This window comes from Homo sapiens, chromosome 2 (assembly GCF_000001405.40).
Source record: "Homo sapiens chromosome 2, GRCh38.p14 Primary Assembly".
Classification (NCBI taxonomy): domain Eukaryota; kingdom Metazoa; phylum Chordata; class Mammalia; order Primates; family Hominidae; genus Homo; species Homo sapiens.
In genome coordinates, this window is record NC_000002.12 from 68854242 (window position 1) to 68874220 (window position 19979).

The 19979-nt window shown below is 40.6% G+C and overlaps 1 protein-coding gene across 1 annotated transcript, besides 1 other annotated feature; it reads right to left on the reverse strand.

Annotated features, from left to right (window-relative positions):
• Positions 1–6667: 6667 nt before the first annotated feature.
• Positions 6668–17156, reverse strand: BMP10 (bone morphogenetic protein 10). The gene is made up of 2 exons (NM_014482.3): positions 16784–17156; positions 6668–12330 (listed from the first exon to the last, which is right to left on the reverse strand). Exons 1-2 carry the CDS (start codon positions 17115–17117, stop codon positions 11390–11392), a joined length of 1275 nt encoding a protein of 424 aa, NP_055297.1. The 5' UTR covers positions 17118–17156; the 3' UTR covers positions 6668–11389.
• Positions 16972–17132: a silencer, noted in NCBI's record as "fragment chr2:69098345-69098505 (GRCh37/hg19 assembly coordinates)". NCBI's record gives its function as "represses an EF-1alpha promoter that drives an FKBP-Casp9 reporter gene in an ReSE screen in phorbol 12-myristate 13-acetate-treated (for megakaryocytic differentiation) K562 erythroleukemia cells {active_cell/tissue: K562(+PMA)}" and the evidence as "EXISTENCE:reporter gene assay evidence [ECO:0000049][PMID:32094911]".

The window sequence follows — 19979 nt, forward strand, 5'->3', positions numbered from 1 at the left end:
CACACGCAGCTTTTCAACACCATGCCCTGGGATGTGTCAAAAGCACTTTGCTTCTCACTTTGCAACTCCTCAAGCAAATAACATTCTGCTGCATCATGTGGACCTCTACTTATTAAATAATATTTCTTGGCAGCATTTATTTATTAAAATCTGGCTTTTGTTCAAGTATATTCCTGAAAGCTCAGAAAATGCAGAATATTGTCTAGGAGAATCTGAAATTTTTTCTTTGTTATTTATTTTCTGCCTCATTGAAACAAAAATATTGAGGTAAATCTTAGAAAAAATTTCACTGAAAACATCTTCATGGCAAAAGGTTGAGTCTTAATACTAGAACTTGAGAAACCTAGATCTTGTGGTCAATCCTTTTGCTGACTGATACAATGACCTTAGTTAAGTTGCTTAATTTTTCTGTGATTCCTTTGTTGAAAGTGCAAGCATTCCAAATATAGCTTTAAAATATACTAGTAAACCAAAAGAACTGAAAGTAGTCTTTGGCTCTAGCTTAAATACATCATTTAGCTTGGGTCACCAAATTTTAAAGACCTGTCATGATTTGACTTAAGAAAAATTGTTATCCCATTAAGGAATATTTGCCATGCCTACAAGTATTCTTCAAAACTTGATTTTAGTCAACACACTCATTTCTGGGTGAATCTTAATTTACTTAGCCAAGCTCTGATTGTTGGGATTTAGGGGAGGGAAGGAGGAATGTCTGCCCTTCACTTCAGGTACAGGAAGAGTTGTTCAAATGGTACCCCTGGGATAACTTGATATGTGTTCCTACATTTGGGGGTGGGGGGCAGGGAGGACTCAAGTCTGAGCCCACTCAGAAATCTGAGGTCAAGAGAGAGCCTGGCAGCCTGGTCTGGTGGAGGAGCGAAGAAGAGAAGCTATTGTTGAGCAGGGACTGGCTTGCACCCTTAGGGTTCATCAAGGCAAGGAAGATAGGGATGTTTCCTATAGACCCTGCACAGGCAGTACACAGAAGAGAGAGAATCCATTTGGAGGATTCTCACAATTTATCTGTGAGAGTTTTTAAAGATGTCTGAAGATTCATCAGCACACTTCCCATCAGGAGGTGGAATCTAATTCTCCTCCCCTTGATTATAAGCTGGTCTTGTGACTCAGTCCTACCACACGGGGTGAGGAGAAAGTAACGCTGCATGGCTCTCAGGGTTAGGTAATAAAAGCCAATACAGGTCTCTCTCTCTCTCTCTCTCTCTCTCTCTCTCTCTTTTCTGAACAGAAAGTCTGGTTACCCTGAGGTAGCTGTTTAGAAAGACAGCGTGGAGGGAACAGACAGAGAGATCTAAGAAGCCCCAACCCAGGTGCCTTCAAAATGATGGCATCCCTGTTACCATCAGATGATATGAGATCTCAAGGGAGAATATTCTCCTTAAGCCCATCTGAATCAACCATCAGATTCATGAGCAAAATAAATGATTGTTATTATCGAAAGCACTGTCTGGGTGTGGTTTGTTACACAGTGATAGATAACGACATCATGGCACCATCCGATAAGACTGCCTGGAGGCATAAGGGGACATTAGCACAGAGGAGCCTGGCTGGTCTGCAGGTTCTCTGGGCTTTGCAGGAGTAAGCACCCAGGCCTCAAGTCACAGGAACTGCAGATTGAGAGGTTTTCCAAGAACTCTCCCAAGAGAAAGTAAGGCTTTAAGCTTCTTCCAGGCTCAGATGATGTGAACTTGGTCTAGGATAGTCCAAGGAAGAGACAAAATAGAAAACACTTTCCTTTTCCCTCTACCTTTTCTTATTCCCTTGGCAGTTTCATTAGGCCAGGCCAAAAATGACAGTTATTTTGCCAACAAAACCTTGTAATAATTTTGAAATGGAGAAACCACTTCTAAGTATGAGGCACCTAAGTGAAGAAGCCACAAAGGGAAAGACTGAAAGATTTGACTAAATAAAAATGTAAACTTTTTAAACAACAAAATGTATTATTTTTAAAAAGTTAAAAGATGAGCAACAAACTGGGAAAACTATCCATAGCATATAACAAAGGATTAATTGTGCATAATACATAGAATTCCAACAAATTAGCTAGAAAAATATGAACACTGGGTAAAAGGAAAAGTTTATTTATGAAATGAAGAAAACTGGTCAGGAAATATGTCAAAATATGTTCAAACTCACCAATCATTAAATAATTAAATTTTAATTTTAAGTCAATTTAAATCATTAAAGAAATAAATGTATAACAAGGAATTATTGTACTTAGCATCTGTAACAATTTTCCAGACCGGTTGTAACAGTGTATCACAAACTGGTCTAAACAACAGAAATTTATTCATCTCTCAGTTTCAGAAGCTAGAAGTCCAAGATCAAGGTGTAGGCTTGGTTGGTTCTTTCTGATAGTCGTGAGGGGGAATCTGTTCTATGCCTCGCCCATAGTTTCTGGTGATTTGCTGGCAATCTTTGGTGTTCTTTGACTTGTAGGAGCATCACTGCAATCCTTACCTTCATGTTCAATGGCATTCTCCCTGTGTTCCAACTGTCTCTGTGTCCAAATTTGCCCTTTCTGTAAGGACAACAGTCATATTGGGTTACAGTCTACCCTAAGGATCTCATTTTAACTTGATTACCTCTATGAAGACCCTATTTCCAAATAATGTCACATTCTACGGTATGTGGGGTTAGGGATTCAACATATCTTTCTGGGAGAACACAATTCAATCCATAACAGGGTCCATTGAGAAAAGCAATAGTATTGAATATTGGAAACTGTAGAAATAGTACTCTTATACACAGCTGATGGATTATAATTTGATGTAAAGTTTTGGAGAGTCATTTTTGGTAGTATCTCTCAGAATTATATATTTTAAATGTGCATAGCCTTTTCTCCAGGAATTTCACTTTTAATGAATATAGCAAAATCTAAAATAGGTGAAGTCAACATAAAAAAAGAGAATCTTTGAGGGTAGGGTTTTCAGGACTCGGTGTTGGAAAGACTCCCAGGAAAGGTAGTGAAAATGTCAGTCAGTTCAGTTGAGAATCTTCTGAAGTTCTGGGGAAACATGCCTCTTCCCCAGTGGGGGTCGAGGAGGAAAGAAAAACCTCTCAGGTCCATGTGATGTCTCCTCACTAAGGGTTGGGAGTTTCCAGTTAGTTGACAGACAGATTTCATAAGAGAGGGAGGGGAAAATCCTGAAAAGACATAGCTGGCCAGGACCCTGGCAGAATGTTTGGGGCATGAGATTAGCCAGCAGTGTCAGCCTGATTCCTCCTTGAGCTGTGGGCTGAGCATCTTGGTCTCACACCCAACACCTTCTAGGCTCCCAGCCTTGAGAGAAATGTCTGGGCAATTCTGATGAGGAGCCGAGAGGACTCAGAGACCAAATGAGTGCCCCAGGGTCTCTATAGGGTTATCCAACCTGTGCATATGACTCTGCTCTGTCCTTGTCATCACTCCGTGTCTATCTCTGCAGAATTCTCAGTGAGCTCTTAACCTATGGGACCCATACATTGAGAAAGGGCAGGAAGAGGAAGCACCTGTATTGCAGGGAGAAAACTCTTAAAGATGTAGTAGTGAAGAACAGCTCCAAAGAGGGAAGGAAAGCAAGAGACAGGAAAAAGCCCCAGGGGAGGGATGGAAGTATGGTAGGCAGCCTGGATCCTGAGGTATGAGGCCCACTCAGTGTCGCCTGGCTAAAGCTTGGGGGTTTCCAGTTTGTTGACAGATTTTGTAGGAAAATGGATGTGAAAGTTCACTACTTTTGTGGTTTTAAGTAGAAGGCAGCATGGCAGAGCAGGGAAGGGCTTGATTGCTGGAAGTGAGCTGCTTGGGTTCGCAATCCTACTTCTGCTTCTGCCTGGTTGAATGACCTCTAAGAGTATGCCTTCTTCACTGTGACTCAATTTCTTCACGTATAAACTGGGGATGATGATTTTGGGGTGTTACTACTGTTTTTAGCATTGGCAGACATGGTCAAGGGGATTTCCACTTCAAATCTCAAAGCTATTCTTCAATGATGAACCTTACTAGAATAATTTGTTTAGTGTAAACAAATTAATGCTTTGTGATTAGTCATCTTCTGAATAGCCCTTCTAGGCATGGAAAGGCAAACGACTTCATCTTTCTCTGGATCTTTCCACTCATGTAACCTTCTGAGCAATACCTGACTTAAGCTGCCAGATTTAGCAGATAAAAACATCCAACCAAATTTGAATTTCAGGTAGTCAACCAACATTATTTAGTATAAGTATGTTCTGTACAACATTTGAGACAGACTTATACTAAACAAACTACTCATGGTTTGATCTTAGATTCATATTTAATTGGACATCCTGTATTTCATCTGGCAACCTGATATCTGACCCCAAACTGCACAAAGCAGGTGAGCCTGGACCTGGGGAGCTAGAATGCAGGTGTAATTCCCCGGTGTACACCTCGCTCAGGCATAGTCTGCAACTGTGCTTTTGCAGGATCTCTTTTAAAAGCAAGAACAACAACAACAACAAAGAATAAAACATGCGATATTTGCAGCAAAAGACGTAACAGGAGCTGGTCTCATGTAAATATTACGTTAATTAAAACAGATGGGTCTGGAGCATAAACAAAATAGCTGCAGGGGGCTGGTTTTTGTTCTTGCTGGGTTTCTTAATATAGTAACTCAGTTTCCATCCTGTTAGCACTCTTTCCTTATCAAACATTGAACTGGGGTATAAGGAAGTTTAAATTACCAGTGATTGGAGATCCGTTTTCTAAACACTTGAAACAGATGGCTTATTGCCTGAAAAGCATGTTGAGTTTGGTTATTTCAGGAAAATGTTTTATTGCAGCTCATTTATTAACATCAGGTTTGCCATGTGATGAACAATTTCCCTTCAGCTCTGTTCCTTGCATTGAGTTTGGCTACTGAGCAAAGAAAGGTTTCATTTTTAATGCTGTCTGCCTGCTTCTTGGACATTGCATTGAGCAAAAGCCTAGTTACTCCTGTATAGCTTCTCACAGTTTCAGAAAAAGAGCAATAACCATGCAGAAGATTTTTACAAATGAATGTCATTTGAGAGCATACAATGGATGAAGTTGGACTCTCTACCAGCTGTGGCAGCAGTGGACTTAACAAAAAGATAATGTGCTTTTGGCCAGTTTTTGAGGGGTCTAGGATCCAATTCAGGACCACATACTGCACTTAGTTGTCATGCTTCTTTAGTCTTTTTAAATCTATAACGGTTTCTCAATCTTTCTTTGCCTTTCATTGACTTTTTAAGAGTGCAGAATCTTCTTAAAATAGGTTCATCTGATGTTTCCTCATAATTAGTAAGGTTATGGTACGCATTTTAGGTGAGATACTAATAAGGAGTTAGAACTAAATTTTCTAAAACCATTCCCATGCTGTGCAAGGAAGTGGGCTCAGTGTTCTGTGTGTGAAAACTTTCTAGCAAATCTTGAGTTGACAATGGTACTTCACACCTCCCATCAATCTTAATTTGAACTGAGTGGCCTAAATTTTTTATAAGATTCACAGAATCACATTTAAGAGTAAAAACGTATTGCGTTGTCTATGCATTTCTGGGCTTTCTTCTTGGAATGAGATGAGCTACTTTAGATCTGTGTGAATGGTCTGAGGAAGGTTAAGAGAGGGCAGGAGCTGTTTCTTGTAAACTGACAGTTCAGGAGAGTGAGTTGGAGATAATCACATAATCCATTTAAACCACCCAAGTTAACAAGCTCTCACCTTCTCCAAATAGGCCCCTTATTTACAAATAGTCACTTCTATACAAAAGTGGGTTCTCATTCATGTGACTGGAGTCACATGCAGAGATCTCATGGCATGATTTCCCCATACCACAAAGTTCAGTTCACATCAGGAATACTATTAGAACCTGTAACATATTATAAATGTATAATGTGAGCTTTGAAAATAATTTTTTATCTTACTTTGTAAACAAACTACCCCCCAAATAACTTGCAGCTGTGTGTCTGCCTAGTGCAATTCCAGGCTGTATCAGTAGGAAAGAAATCACAGAACAAGGCGGCTGGTCCAGCATAGCTGTGATCAGGTCAAACCAATTGCAGAGATGGGTTCCAGACCCCACATTGTGACAGACTTTTATAAACGGACTTATTTAAAGAAGAGAATGAATAGGTTGCTAAAGAATTCAAAATCAAATTACACGAGTGGCTTTTCAGGTCTGTTTAGTCCAGTCCTGGGCTCAGCCCCATCTTGGGCTCTCAGCTCCCTTTCCTCCATGGGAGAGCCCTGTCTTACCTTATCAGTGCTCATCCAGGGATGAAGGCTGTGCTTCCCTCCGACACACTTGCCAGATTCAGCCTGCCAGCTGAGACACTGGAGGCGTCCCCTCAAAAAAAGTGATGCAGGATGATTTTCTGATGGAAGAGATTTTATTCTACCTGGGGCTGTCCCTATGCCCTTCAAATTCCACATTCTGCCATAAGAATGAATTTCCTTCGTGAAAAAGCAGCAAGGTCTGTCTGTTGGCCAGGACTGTTACCTCTAAACTGCCTCCTTTGGTATTCAAAGAAGAAATATTTCCCAGCTACTGACAAAAGGGAGCCAATTGTATTTTCTGTGAATGCCTGTGGCATTAATGGGAATTACACAAAGTCATATAAAGTGGGAGAACCATGGAGCTACAAAATCCCACTCCCTACTGAGGTCAGTTACAAGCCAAAAACAACTTATGGTTTCTTCAGACCATTCTTTATTAATATAGCAATTAGTTTTATTCCATCGGGATATGTTATCAAGTAGAAACATGAAAAAGTGGGGAGTGTGCAAAATTAAATACCTTACCTCAAGGAAAAATAAGCTGCAAATAATTATCACCAAAATAATTTTTTTATTTTACTTAAAAAGACTCTGAAGGTACACATTTGGTTCATGAACACAGGGTAAAATATTTATTTCCATCTTCATTTTAGTCTAGTGATAACTATACAAATGTGGACATGGATAATGAACAGGTTTTACCCCAGAACATGACCGTGCATCAGCTGATTCGGTGTGTCTGTGGTGTTCGCTGATTTCCAATGTCCATGAATGCTCAGTAGGCGGGCGCTGGCACATTGGCCGCCCCACCACTATCAAGCCAGGTGCTCACAAAACCAGTGCCCATGTGTGATAAAAACATGCTGATCACAACAAACAGTTATTCCATGATGGGTTTTTAACTTATGACAAATATTTCACATGCAGAAACACCCCTGTGTACTTCTCTTCCATAGTCACATCTACCTTCCATTTAATGTAGGAAATCAACTGTTCCTGTTTGGGGGCAAGAAAATGCACAGAGTCATACCAGCATTTCCTCTTGCACCATATGTGAGCTTGCAGAACTGCAAAGGGTTGAGAATGACCCACAGTGACTCTGAAAAGATCTACAACCTTAAAAAGGGCAACATCCCTTCTGTGTTCTAGGCAAGTTAAAAAGGTTTTGCCAGAACACTGCTAGGCTTCATAATCTGTTGATGAATCAAGTAAGAAGAATACATAAAATTCTCTTATATGAAAATATCTTTTACTTGAAGAATATAAATCATAACAAATACTGAAACATTTAGTAACAGTTCTTAAAAAAAAAAGGTTTTTGTCATTAATTCCCCGGACCAAAATTTACACATCAGGAAAGAATTCGGCACTTTGGGGCTGACTCTTTTGGAAATCACTAAGCTAACATTTTTGACATTTACAAAGTAATTGGTCCAATTACAAATGAATTTGACCAATCACATCTCTGAATTTCTGGGTCAGTGACGGCAACAGGTGAATTCAGAGGGGAAGTACCAGATTTGGGGGATGAAAAGATTCATTTAAATAGCATCTCCGTTTACTGAGTAGCAATCACATTCTCTCACAGCCTGACAATATTTGCTTCTCATGATAAACTGACAACATCACTTTATGAAACTGCATGACAATGTATTGGTTAAATATTTCCTGGAACATCTACACTTCAGTTAAAACTGTACTATTTACAAATCAGAAAATATACTACAAAGCATGCTTGTAGGCACAGCATGCCTGCAAGACACAAATATACAAAATTATGGCAAGCTATGGCAAGATTCCTTAAACCAATAGAATATTCTGATGCAAAAAGAGAGAGATGGAAATACAGGCCATATATTATATGTGAGCCATACTCTGAAGCCCAGAAGACTCTCTATCCAAAAGGGAATCACAGACATAAAAATAAAATATTTGGTATTCTACAATATTTTACAAAAATAAATATATCAATCAATAAATAGTGGGAAGCCTAGAAACTCTTACATGAATATTTTGGCTGTGGGCTGCCCAAGTCCCTCTGCTATAATTCTCCTCAAGAGTTGTTTAGCTATATCAACTTCGGTGATGATAATTCTGCAATAAAAGGGGGAAAAAAACTGGCATGGGACCCAGAAGAAGGTCTATGACCAGAGAAACATTAGTAAGATTCTACCTTTTTAAGGATCTGACAATATTCTGGCTTCCTGTCAATGCAGGAGTTGAAAGTGACACCGGTGTGCTGCCGGGGTTCCGGTGGGAGCTGGGAGAACTCCTCTACGGGCTGTGTCTTTTCACTTTCTGACAAAAAGCCAAAAAAATACAACTAGCAACATTTGAATAACAATATGTTGCTCTCTGCACTCCCTTTCCACAGGGAAGCAGAAAATCATAGAAATGCAGGTTTACATCTGGATGGGCAGAAAGAAACAACTGGGCTATGCAGCCTGATCGCCAACAGCCTATATTTTCATATCTCTTTAACAGAAGAGTGACTATAAGTGCTCGAGACAAGATTTCTCCAGAAGCCCGGAGCCAGCAGCGCACACAGTGGAAAGCAGGGCTGGCACATCCTTAACATTCTAGTATCAGGGTGCTAATGTCAGCGGTGTGCTAATGTCAGTGGGATACTAAATGTCAGCGGTGTGCCAGCACCAGTGCACAGCTCCCAAGAGCTGACTTAGGTTTTAGAAGTTTTGCAAGCCAGTTGACATCACCTTGGCAGCTCAAGATAGACCATGTAGGAGCGTTTGCAGCATTGAAATCCACAAATCAGGGCTTTTTCTCCCCCTGGATTGCTGGTTGTAAGGGTTTTACCAGCACACCACTGTCATATGTATTAGACATAAAGAAAATTTGCTTAATTTTTATCTAACCAGGACTATCCTGGTCAGCTGAGGTTTTACTGTGTATGTATTACAGTGTCCTTTAGAAAGGATAAGAAGTACCTTGGAGTATGTGAGTATACATTGTGTACCATGGAGTATGAAGGATGCACCACGTTCCACTGAGGGTATTAAGCGTGGTTATTCAAAGCCAGCTATACATCACACACACATACACACATCATGTTATATGGAGGCTGTTCCACAAATAGTGATTCTGAGTTGCATGGCTTTCTCAAAGCATCAATCACTGTATACCCACTGACGGTCAAAACACCACTCTTCCATGAGCAATGAATTCCCCAGGATTCACCCAGCAGACAACAGATCTAGCGAGCTGAGGTTCAAATTGGGCCTTCTTCAAAATAGTTTTCCTTGCCTCTATTGTCTAGTGCAGTTTGAGTTTATAACCTTAAGAGATTTGTAAAAGGGGACTGATTGTTTTCCAGGGTAAAAAAAAGAAAAAAGTGTCAGACTTCTTAAGGAAGCATTCCTTAAGATGAGTAGGGGTGAATGGGGGATGACGTACTGGAAACCACATTCCTGGTTCTAACAGGAACCATCCATGTTCCCTGCCTGGAGATGCTGGAACAGTTTGGAAACTGCTCTGCTCTGCTCTGGTTCCTCCTGCACAAAGCCCAGAATATGCTTGCCAGGTAGAGGGAAATGGTTAGGGGTTAAGACTGGAGGCTGCCACCTGCCAGGAAAACCCACCGGACCCTTCCTGTGCAGAACACTTCCTCACCACTTTCAGTCCTGGCCAGTTGCAAAATGGGAAGATGGTAAGATGAGAAGATGGGAAAGTTACTGGGTTTCTACCATGAAACAATCATGATTTCAAAATTCAGGCTTGGCTTTTGAGTCATTTGCTTGTGTGTCTATTCATAAATTCGTTTATTTAAATCCATTCATTTGGACTCTGGTTTTCTTTTTCTTATACTTACTTATTCTGGTTTTCTTTTCTCTTATATCTAAGTATTCTTCATGAACAAAACATTTGATAAAGGATATTATTAAAATAAAATCAAATTAAATATCACGGGAAGATTTAGAAATTAGAACACTAACTCCTTTCACCCTGAGAGCAAAGGCACTTAGGTGTCCCTTTCCAGTTCACAGCATGCATCATGAAGGCCAGGGAAGAGCAGGGACACAGGGATGGGAGGAAGGTGAGAGGCACTAGGGCCAAGAAGAAAGAGGGAAGGAAGAAGATGGAGCAGAGGAAAGCAGGGGTGCTGAGACAAGGGAACAGTGTTAACAGGTGAAGAAAGATATTAACATCCTTTCTTCCAACAGACAGACCCCTTCTGATTTTCCTCCTCTTAGTCTTTGATACTTCTATTTTGTCCAAAAGATTTAATTCTTTAAACAGAACCACTTTTGGTTTTACAGACACATCTGAGGATAGCCTCTGAGGATAACATCAATATCCTCTTCCCTTTCTCCCTTTCTCCCCTTCAAGTACCCTCCCAACCCCTCTACTCTCTGCAGCAGCAATGGCCAGTACTCATGGCCTTGCTTTCCTATTGTCTCAGGAACAGATTTCATGCTGGTTTCTTCTGTTTTCCTGCCTTGACCAGGAGTTGCCCTCTGGAGCACATTGGTCCTCCATGGGTTCATTTTTTCCTGTTGTACCTCTAAGACCTCTTAAGTCCATTTGGTTTCTGTATCAATTAACCCTTCCCTTCAAGCATCCTTTGCCAGGCCCCTCCTCTCTGAGCAACTACAGAAACTCAACTGACAAAAGCTACACTTACATTTCCAGAGTATTTAGGAAGGGTAATACTTCCTAGGATGATTAAAACCCTGATGTCAATTATCTTGACTTAAATCCTACTCAGAGAAGAGGTAACAGAGAACATACCATTGGCCTTTAATATGCATACATTTGAGTGAGTCATGCATGTAGATGAGTATAACCTGCCTGCATAGAACCAAAAGATTTTTGTAAGTTCATGTATGTACAAATATACATACACAAGTGTGTGTCTTTTGACACTGTATTTTGCCTAGGGGTTGTTTTCAAATCAACAGGGAGGTGGCATTGCCAGGAAATGGCAAGTCCAAAGAGAAAACAGATTGAAAGGGACTTAACTGGAGAGGAAAATATGCATTTCCTACAACAAACTGACCTGTCCATTTCCTGAAGGCAGCAAGCCTCTATTACTGTACACCCTTATTAAATAATCTCATTAAATAGGAACACCAAATATACACATTTACAGTTATTAAATAAGCCATAGGACTCTTCTTCTATCTACAGCCACATTCGGAGACGGCCATGCCTTCGTATTTAAACTTGTAGGTGACGACGCCTTTGTCTAAATAGAGGATGGAGATGGGCTCTAGCTTTGTGGGCACACAGCAGGCTTTGGAAGCTTTCTGGGAATTCTTGAGGTGGACCAAGGCCTGGATAATTGCATGCTTTGTGGGTGTGAGATGCTCTGCCAGGGGGTAGTTACAAACACCACGGCATTCATAGGCTTCGTATCCAGGCGGAGCGATGATCCAGGAGTCCCACCCAATCTCCTTGAAGTCGATGTAGAGCGGGGTCCTCTTACAGTAGTTTCCTTTGGCGTTCCTTCTGATTCGGGCAGTGGAGTCATAGATGATGTTTGATCTCATCTGCAACAAAGCCTCTTCCCCAGGTCCACTGGAAAAGCTATCCAGGCCCAAGTTGTCCAGCTCTGGAAGTTGCTCATGGGAAATCATTTCATTCAGTTCCTCCTTCCTCTCCTTGTCACTGCTTTGGTCATCAGAAAACACGATGAGCAAAGGGTTATGCTTATTCTGGGCACTGGTATCTATTTCTAGCCGTCCACTGCTGGCATCCTCAGCTTCATCGTGTTTGCTCTCAATGTGGACCTCCAGCTGGTGGGTGGATGAGCCTGACTTTTGCCAACGTCTGATGGCATCTGTGACATCAAAAGTCTCCCACTCACTGTTGGTTCCATATATCTCCCCAGACACCAAGACCAGCATGTTTCTTTCTCCCTCATTATCCCCTTTGCTCTCCAGCACTTCAAAAATGGTAATTTTCCGGTCTACTCCATCGTATATCATACGATCCCTTTGCACCAGTGTGTATAGCCTAAGTTCAGCCATGATGACCTCTTCATGGTGAGGAATGGACACATTGAAGAGGAGGGGGTATTTTCGGAGCCCATTAAAACTGACCGGCTGGGAAAACAGATCTGAAAAAAGAAATTTGCAAAAATCAGGTTTGCAGTGGGTCTCAGGGAAAAACAGATGCTTATTTATGTAATAAGAAGGCCTTCCCATGCACAAAGCTTAATGCAGAAAGAATGAAGGGAGAAAATCAATGAGAACAAACACAATGTCAGCATTCTGTGACACAGGAAATCCCAAAAGGTCAGTGGTAGAATGCCCAAAAGAGTTCAGCTGCCAAGACTAAAATGGAAAATGGGGGTCTAATGGATGGCATAAAACTCAGCCAACCTTGCTTGAATAGCTCATCAGCCACAGAATTACAGAACTGGGAGGGACCTTGGAGATTGTGTGGGCAAGTCCCCAAATTTCCTAACAAACAAAACGCCACCAAATGGGACATGTGGTGATTGTTCCTTTCTTGAAGCTTTTCGGGGATGAGGACTTCATGGTTTTTTAATATTTGTGTTTGTAGTGGGTGGAGATCCCCGCACAGTTGGCTGGACACTGGTCTTCCTAAAAGACCTCCATTTAGATCAGAGGTTGGTAAACTATAGCCTATGGGCCAATATGGGCCTGCTACCTGCTTTTGGAAATAAAGTTTTATTGGAACACAGCCTCATCCATTGTTTTTGTATTGTCTGTGGCTACTTTTGCACTATAATGGCAGAGTTAAATAGATACAACAAAGAACATATAGCCTGCAAAGCTTAAAATAGTTATTATCTGTCTGGCCCTTTACAGTAGAAACTTGCTGACTTCTGTTCTAGGCAACAAAGCCTGACAAGGCCAATAAGACAGCCATAAACCAAGAGGGTCTCAGCAATTGACTGCTGGTTATATGGTTCTCTATAAAGAGGAATGGGAGAAAATGAATCCTGGGACTAGATTGGTTGCCTTAGTCTTGTACCCCTAGCACCTGGCATGGGGCGTGACATGTATAACTCACTCAATAATGTTTATGAATCAACTCTGTAAAAGTCCTTTAGTCTTAGAAGCATACTTCCAAATACGATCATGTTGACTTCCTATCTGAATATTTCACAGTGAGCCCAAAGCTCCTGCACACTTGCCTCAGGTAATGAGTCTACAAGGAAGCCCTGAAGGCATTTGCCATCAGATTATCAAAGGACTCCATGGCACCGAAGATGCTAAGGACCACCAACTGGGGGTTCTCTGTCATCATTGGCAGCATTTCCCCAAGTTTATACTTAGTTCATGATCTCGGTGAGTCCCTGTTTCAGATTATAATCTTTTAATATTTTTCTTTAATTTGATCTAATTATTTTATACTTATTATCTATTTTAGACTGTTCCTAAGCAACATAATTCATTAAAGGAGAGATTTGAGGTGATATTTATGTGTGTTTGCTAAAAATCCATACTAAGAAAAATATACAATAATTTCACATGATTAATAGCTTTCTTTGGGTACCACCTAAATTAATCTTACACACTGCTAGTGGGAAATGCTGACCTACAGAATAAATTTAAACTCCCTGGCATGGCTCTCAAGACCAGCTATATCTGGGTCTTAACCTCCTGATCAGCCATAGCTTACATACGTCCTCCACAGTGCATGGAACATTGTGATTACTCAATAATATTTGTGAACAATTGAATGGATTTGTAAACCCTTCTGTTTTAACTACATTGATATCTTTACCACCTGTCAAAACACTCTTTTTTTCCCTGCAATTTTCACCTTTTCACATGTTCTTCTGACCCTTGGAAAGCCCTTTCACCTCACCTCCACCTATCCAGCTCTGACATCTCCTATAAAAGCCTCCCTTACTTCTCATCTGAAAGTTCCCTCCTCTCCCCTCTGAAATCATTTGATCACTTTATATCTCCTTTGATCCTTGTCATTTACGTCCTTATATTTCAGCCATCTTTTTATGAATGGATTTTCCCAACTAGATTGCCATCCTCCTGGTTTGAATGGCTCAAAACTCCCTTCTATGTCTCTATCCTACTATGATGGCTTAAACAGAGGTAGTGCTTTAAAAATATTGATTAGTTGATGATTCTAGGCACCAGACTAAATTGATTTATGGGCGTGACATATGACCTTAATCCATCATCAAGCTCTTGGGTTGGGCTTGGGAGTTATTCTTCCACTCTAAGAAGGGAAGAGACTTGACTCCCCATGGACAGGGAACATGGAAGAGTAGGCTGGTTGCTCTACCCAGGAGAAAAGTATAAAATAAGAGCTCACTGTAGTGGGAGGAAGGCATTACAAAGTATACAAGGAAGCTTTTGGTTTTAATGGATATATTCATGATCTTGATTGTGGTGATGGTTTCAATGAATGTTACATATGTCAACACCTTTCAAATTATACACTTTAAATATGTGCGATTATACTTTTATACATCAATATTTTTATATGTCATATTTTTATAAGTCAAATATACCTCAATAAAGCTGTTTTGAAAAAGTAAGTTCACTGTGAAGTTCTGTGCATGTGCAAATGCAGTAAGCAATAGATGGAAGAGTTACATTTCAGGGCAAGAGAACGAATGTTTGTTGACAAATTTCTCATGCCAGGTGCTTTGCAAGCATGATCTTCTCTGGTTCTCACAATGACCCCATAATGCAGGTATTGATTCTCTACTCGTTTTGCACCAGAATAAATCAAGCCTTGATGCAGATAACTGATTTCCCCAAATGACAAGGTGATAAAGGAGCACGCTTTTTTCACCTTGGAGGTGGCACTTTTTTTTCCCAAGATGGGGTAGGTTTGGAGTTTTTTTGGTCTTTCTCTCCTAGGGAGCTGCACTAAGCAGATCCAAAGAGTCAGAAGAGAGGCAATAGTAGCCAACAGGGCATGTCCTGTGCGATTTCTGTCCTCAGGCTGCACATTTCCTGCAGACTGGCAGAGGTGCTGGCGGCTGGGTTGTTTACTAAGAGATGTGTTCCTGCCCTCAATAATCTCCAGTAATAATAAGCACAGTAAACTCCACATCCTGACCTGGATCATCCAGATACTCTATGAGAGAAGTGAGAACGGAAAACGTTTCTAGTTTTCCAGGGGATGCAAACAACATTTTCTCACCCACACCCTGAGCCAGACACTTAGGGCTCAGTGCTGAGAAGTATTAGGGAGGGTTCTTACAGGAGGAAGTTGTTCATTTTCAATTCAGACTCACCTCCAAAAGCAATCTGTAATCTCAACTTGCCATTTCCATGAGAAAGATATTATGAATTATAAATTTTGGCAGCCAACTCAATTTTAAAGGGAGATAATATCTTAGGGACTAAGGAATACCTACTCAACATTTATTCCAGTACCTAGAATATTAAGTAACTCATTAGTAGTCACTAAAGTTTGATCAGCACTTCATAGTAAATGGAGTGCTTTCTTATCTGTAACCTCCTTTGAGTCACTCAACTATGTTATGTAGGTATTATTACTCCCACTTTATAGATGAGGAAATTGAGGCTCTGAGGCATCAGCTAATTATTCACAACCACTAAGCCAACTAGCTCTCAAAATCCCAAATCCTGAGCTATTTCTTCACTATTACCTTTCTTCTTTCAAGAACATCTGGCCAATATTAACGGGAAGCTTCTTTTATACCTGGTTAGTGACTATAAAAGCATAACTGGCAAAAATTAAATTAGTTCCTTTGGACCTTCAGCTTCTACTATAGATATCTAGATATCAGGGGTTTTTTTTCCTACTAGGACCATATTAACCAAAAAACAAACAAACAAACAAACAAACAAAAACATTAACTTGCTAGCTCATTAGATTTAGTTACCAAATTTAAAGACCTAAGAGAAGAAAACACACTTTTCCCACCAATAATTCAAAGCTTGTACGTTGCTCTTTATAAAGACGGAAATGATGAGCTGGATGATTAATGGGCCATCTACACTTCCTGGAAACTGTAAACAGTGCTTTAAGGATGTACATGACACATCAAACAACACAGCCTTAGGAAGAATCTTTAAAATATATTTCCATCCTGTTTGAACATTTCTTAAATAAGGTCACAAAATAAAAACTTATCAAAAGTTTGAACAAAACACAAATCACAATTTGATGTTTTTTGACTGTTTTTACCCTTTTTATTCTAAGTAGAAGTTGAGAAATTTTTTAGTTAATTAAAAGCCCATATGGCAATCAAGGCCTATTTGGAAAATGACAAAGGTACGGCAGTAGACCAACATTAATTCTTTGTATTACTTGGTGTTCAAATTAACATTTTTTAAAAGGACCCAATTATGATGTCAAATTGATAGATGTTTTGTGGCTTTGGATTAAAAGATGTTTGTAAGTATTTTTCGAGGTTCCTGAAATGACTATATAATTGGTATAGAACAAAATGTGCCTTGTTTTTGTGTATCCATATGTATTTAACATCCTTATATAGATGTATTTACCCTTACCTATATCATTCCCATGCATTGTAAATTTACTTATTGTGTCTTGAAAAAAATCCTAGCAAAATTTCATCAGCAAAAACTTACCTTCATTCTTGAAACTCCTAATGATGTTGGCAGAGGGCATGGAGGTCCGATCTGTTGCAAATTTGTTGTAGAGTTCCAACATGTACTCTGGTGGGTCCACCTTGGCTGAATCCTGCGTGGGGATGTCAGAGAGGTTTAGTGTCTTAAGAAACTCATCCTTCATGCTCTGGAGCAGTGTGTTAAAGTCGACACCGTCTTGCTCTGAGAAAACATCACCAAAGAGGGACATATCTTCTTCCAGAGGAGACTGCTCTAGGTTCATGATGGGGCTGCCAGAAACCAAGTAAGCTGCCAGGCAGAAAAGAGCGCACAGTGTCAGGACCAGAGAGCCCATGACTCCGCTCGAGCTCCTAGGCCAAGCCAGGAAGGTTTAGCTTCCCTGGGCTCTAAGTGGCAGTTTTATCTTGTGGAACGTAAATGTCTCCTGTCACTGGAGACAAGTTTGGAAACTCTTCCTCTCTCTCTCCCTCCCCCTACCACTCTTCCTCTCCCCCTAAAAGTCAGGTTGCAGTAATTGGATAACAAAATCCCCTATAGGGGCCTAGCCTTTCTTATCTCCCTAGTGTAAACTTGTGCACCAGAATTTGTTTCTATCTTGCAATCCCTATTTCTTTTAATGAGCATTTTGTAAACATTTCCACATTCTGACACTGGTTGAGAGATAGGACAATTTTCTCTTTGCAAAGGCTCTGCTTCTCTTCCCTTCAATTCACTTCCTTTCAGCAGGAATGCCTAAATTCTGTTTTTATGGGGCTTAGTTTCACACATGCATATAATAGGTATAAGAATCAACATAATGCACATCAATGGTGATACATGTTAATTTGAGAGGTAGGGCTCAGATAAACACTTGTGAAGACAGACCAAATATCCAAACTTTCCAAGTTTAAGTTAATAGCTATAAATGAATTATATAAATTTTTAGAAGTGTACCTTTTTAGAAACAGGAAAGTATAAACTTCATGATTGACAGGCTTTTTCCTACCTATTTGATCTGGCTAAAATAGCATTTGAAAAATAGGGCAAGTGCTTAGTTATACTGGCAACTAGAATTTATTAGATGCTTCCTACAAACAGGCATTGTACTGAGTGCTTTACACCTATCATCAAGTGTGCTCCTGTAATAACCGTATCATTATCTCCATCACATATATGGGTCAGTGAAGTGCCATAGCTTGCCAGAGGCCACAAAGTTGCAAAGTGATGGGGCCACAATTTCAACCAAGGCAGCCTGATTCTTATGAAGAATAAAACAGTCACACTTTTAAACCACTCTTCTACCAGACTAGGGCATGGGCAATAATGCTGAGAGGCCAACACGTCCCCAGATCAGCCTGGAGGCAGGAGGCAGGCAGAAATTTGTAGCTGGATGTGGACCTCAGGTCCTCCATCTGTGCAATGAGTTGTTAATATAACCAACATCTCTGCGAAATTCATCCTTCTGACTCAATCAAAATTGTCATCAAGAGGCTCCAGCAAAAGCTTGGTGTGATGGTTAATACTTACTGTCAACTTGATTGGATTGCAGGATGCAAAGTATTGATCCCGGGTGTGTCTGTGAGGGTGTTGCCAAAGGAGATTAACATTTGAATCAGTGGGCTGGGAAAGGTAGACCCACCCTTAATCTAGCTAGGCACCATCTAATCAGCCGCCAGCACGGTTAGAATATAAAGCAGGCAGAAAAACGTGAAAAGACGAGACTGGCCTAGACTTTCAGCCTATCTTTCTCCCATGCTGGATGCTTCCTGTCCTTGAATATGGGACTCCAAGTTCTTCAGTCGGGGAACTTGGACTGGCTCTCCTCGATCCTTAGCTTGCAGACAGCCTATTGTGGGACCTTGTGATCGTGTGAGTTAATACTTAATAAACTCAGAAATATATCTCCATCCCCTATTAGTTCTGTCCCTCTAGAGAACCCTGACTAATACACTCGGCAAACAACATTACTAGGCACACAAAAAACGCCAAATGCCTTGGTCCTGAAAATAAAAATGGTAGAATCGATTGTGTGTCCAGATTAGGAAAGACAAATCAGGTTCATCACATTTTCCATTCTAACTAGTGACAGTAGCAGCCGGGGTGCAGCCAGAGAGGCCCTGCGGACAAGCCCAGGGGATGTTTTTCCCACTGAGGTGGTAGTTCTGGTATCTTTCTGACGTGCACACCATTACTCACGCGTCCTGGTGCTGTGTTCCAAGGGCTGTGTCAAGATATTTGGTTCACTGGAATCCTTTCTCAGTTTCTAGGTTAAATTTTCCTATATTCATGCTCATCGTTTAGCTACAATGTCTCCACTTAACTTTTTCTCCAGGCTCACTTAGGTTTCTAGTCATCTTTTGATTCTTTTTCCTCCTAAAATGTACAATGTTACAGCCATTTTTTAAATTACCATAGAAAGAACCATATTTTGTTTAGTAGTTGTTAATTGTCTATTTGTTTAATAGTTTTGATTTTGATTCAATGTTCAATTTTGATTCAAACTTTCTATTCCCATAGTAAAACGACAATTGTAGACTGGAGACAGATTATACCCTGAACAGTCCCACAAGTGAGTGAGTGACTCCAAGGGCCAGAAGCCGTCCTTCGGGTGGTTCGTTTTCACATGAGGTTTCTGACAGCATACCAGCAATGCCCTGTATCATGTCCTGCATCCAAACAGGCACCCATTTATCTTCACACACACACAGATGTCAACGCACACTCCAAAACTCTGAATGCAGGCATGTGCGTGTAACTGCCACAGGACAGCAGTGTAAGTGGTGGTACTTACAACCCCTGAGCACACTGGTTTCAAAGGTCACGGGGAGAGACATGCATCCCACATTGCGGAGTTCTAGTTCTTTACATTCTTGAGCATAAAAACATTAACTGAGACTTCACTGGCTTCCCTGTACTTGGTGTTAGAAAAACTACAGGGTCAAATATTTGGATCCATGTTGATATTTGGGGATGATTAAAAGATACAGTAGGAAAATGACTATAGCCATATTTCAGACATTTCAAGATATCAGCGTGTCTTGAGACGCATGCTTGGTGAAGGTTCTTAAACCCATACCTGTGCTGGGTGGACAAGGAAGGAGGTTGGCTTCATGCTTGGAGGAAGGGGACATAAGCTCTCTCCCTCTTCCAGGCCTGGGACACCTCACATCTTAGCTGCAGAGTCTCTTTATCCCCATATTTTTCTCTAGAAGCTTTT

What these genes read in the sequence shown, in the direction of transcription:
- BMP10 (NM_014482.3), bottom strand. Translation starts at nt 17,117, where the DNA reads ATGGGCTCTCTGGTCCTGACACTGTGCGCTCTTTTCTGCCTGGCAGCT. An exon ending in TAGGAGTTTCAAGAATGAAG is followed by an intron (nt 12,331 to 16,783) that starts GTAAGTTTTTGC and finishes TTCTTTTTTCAG; the next exon opens with ATCTGTTTTCCCAGCCGGTC.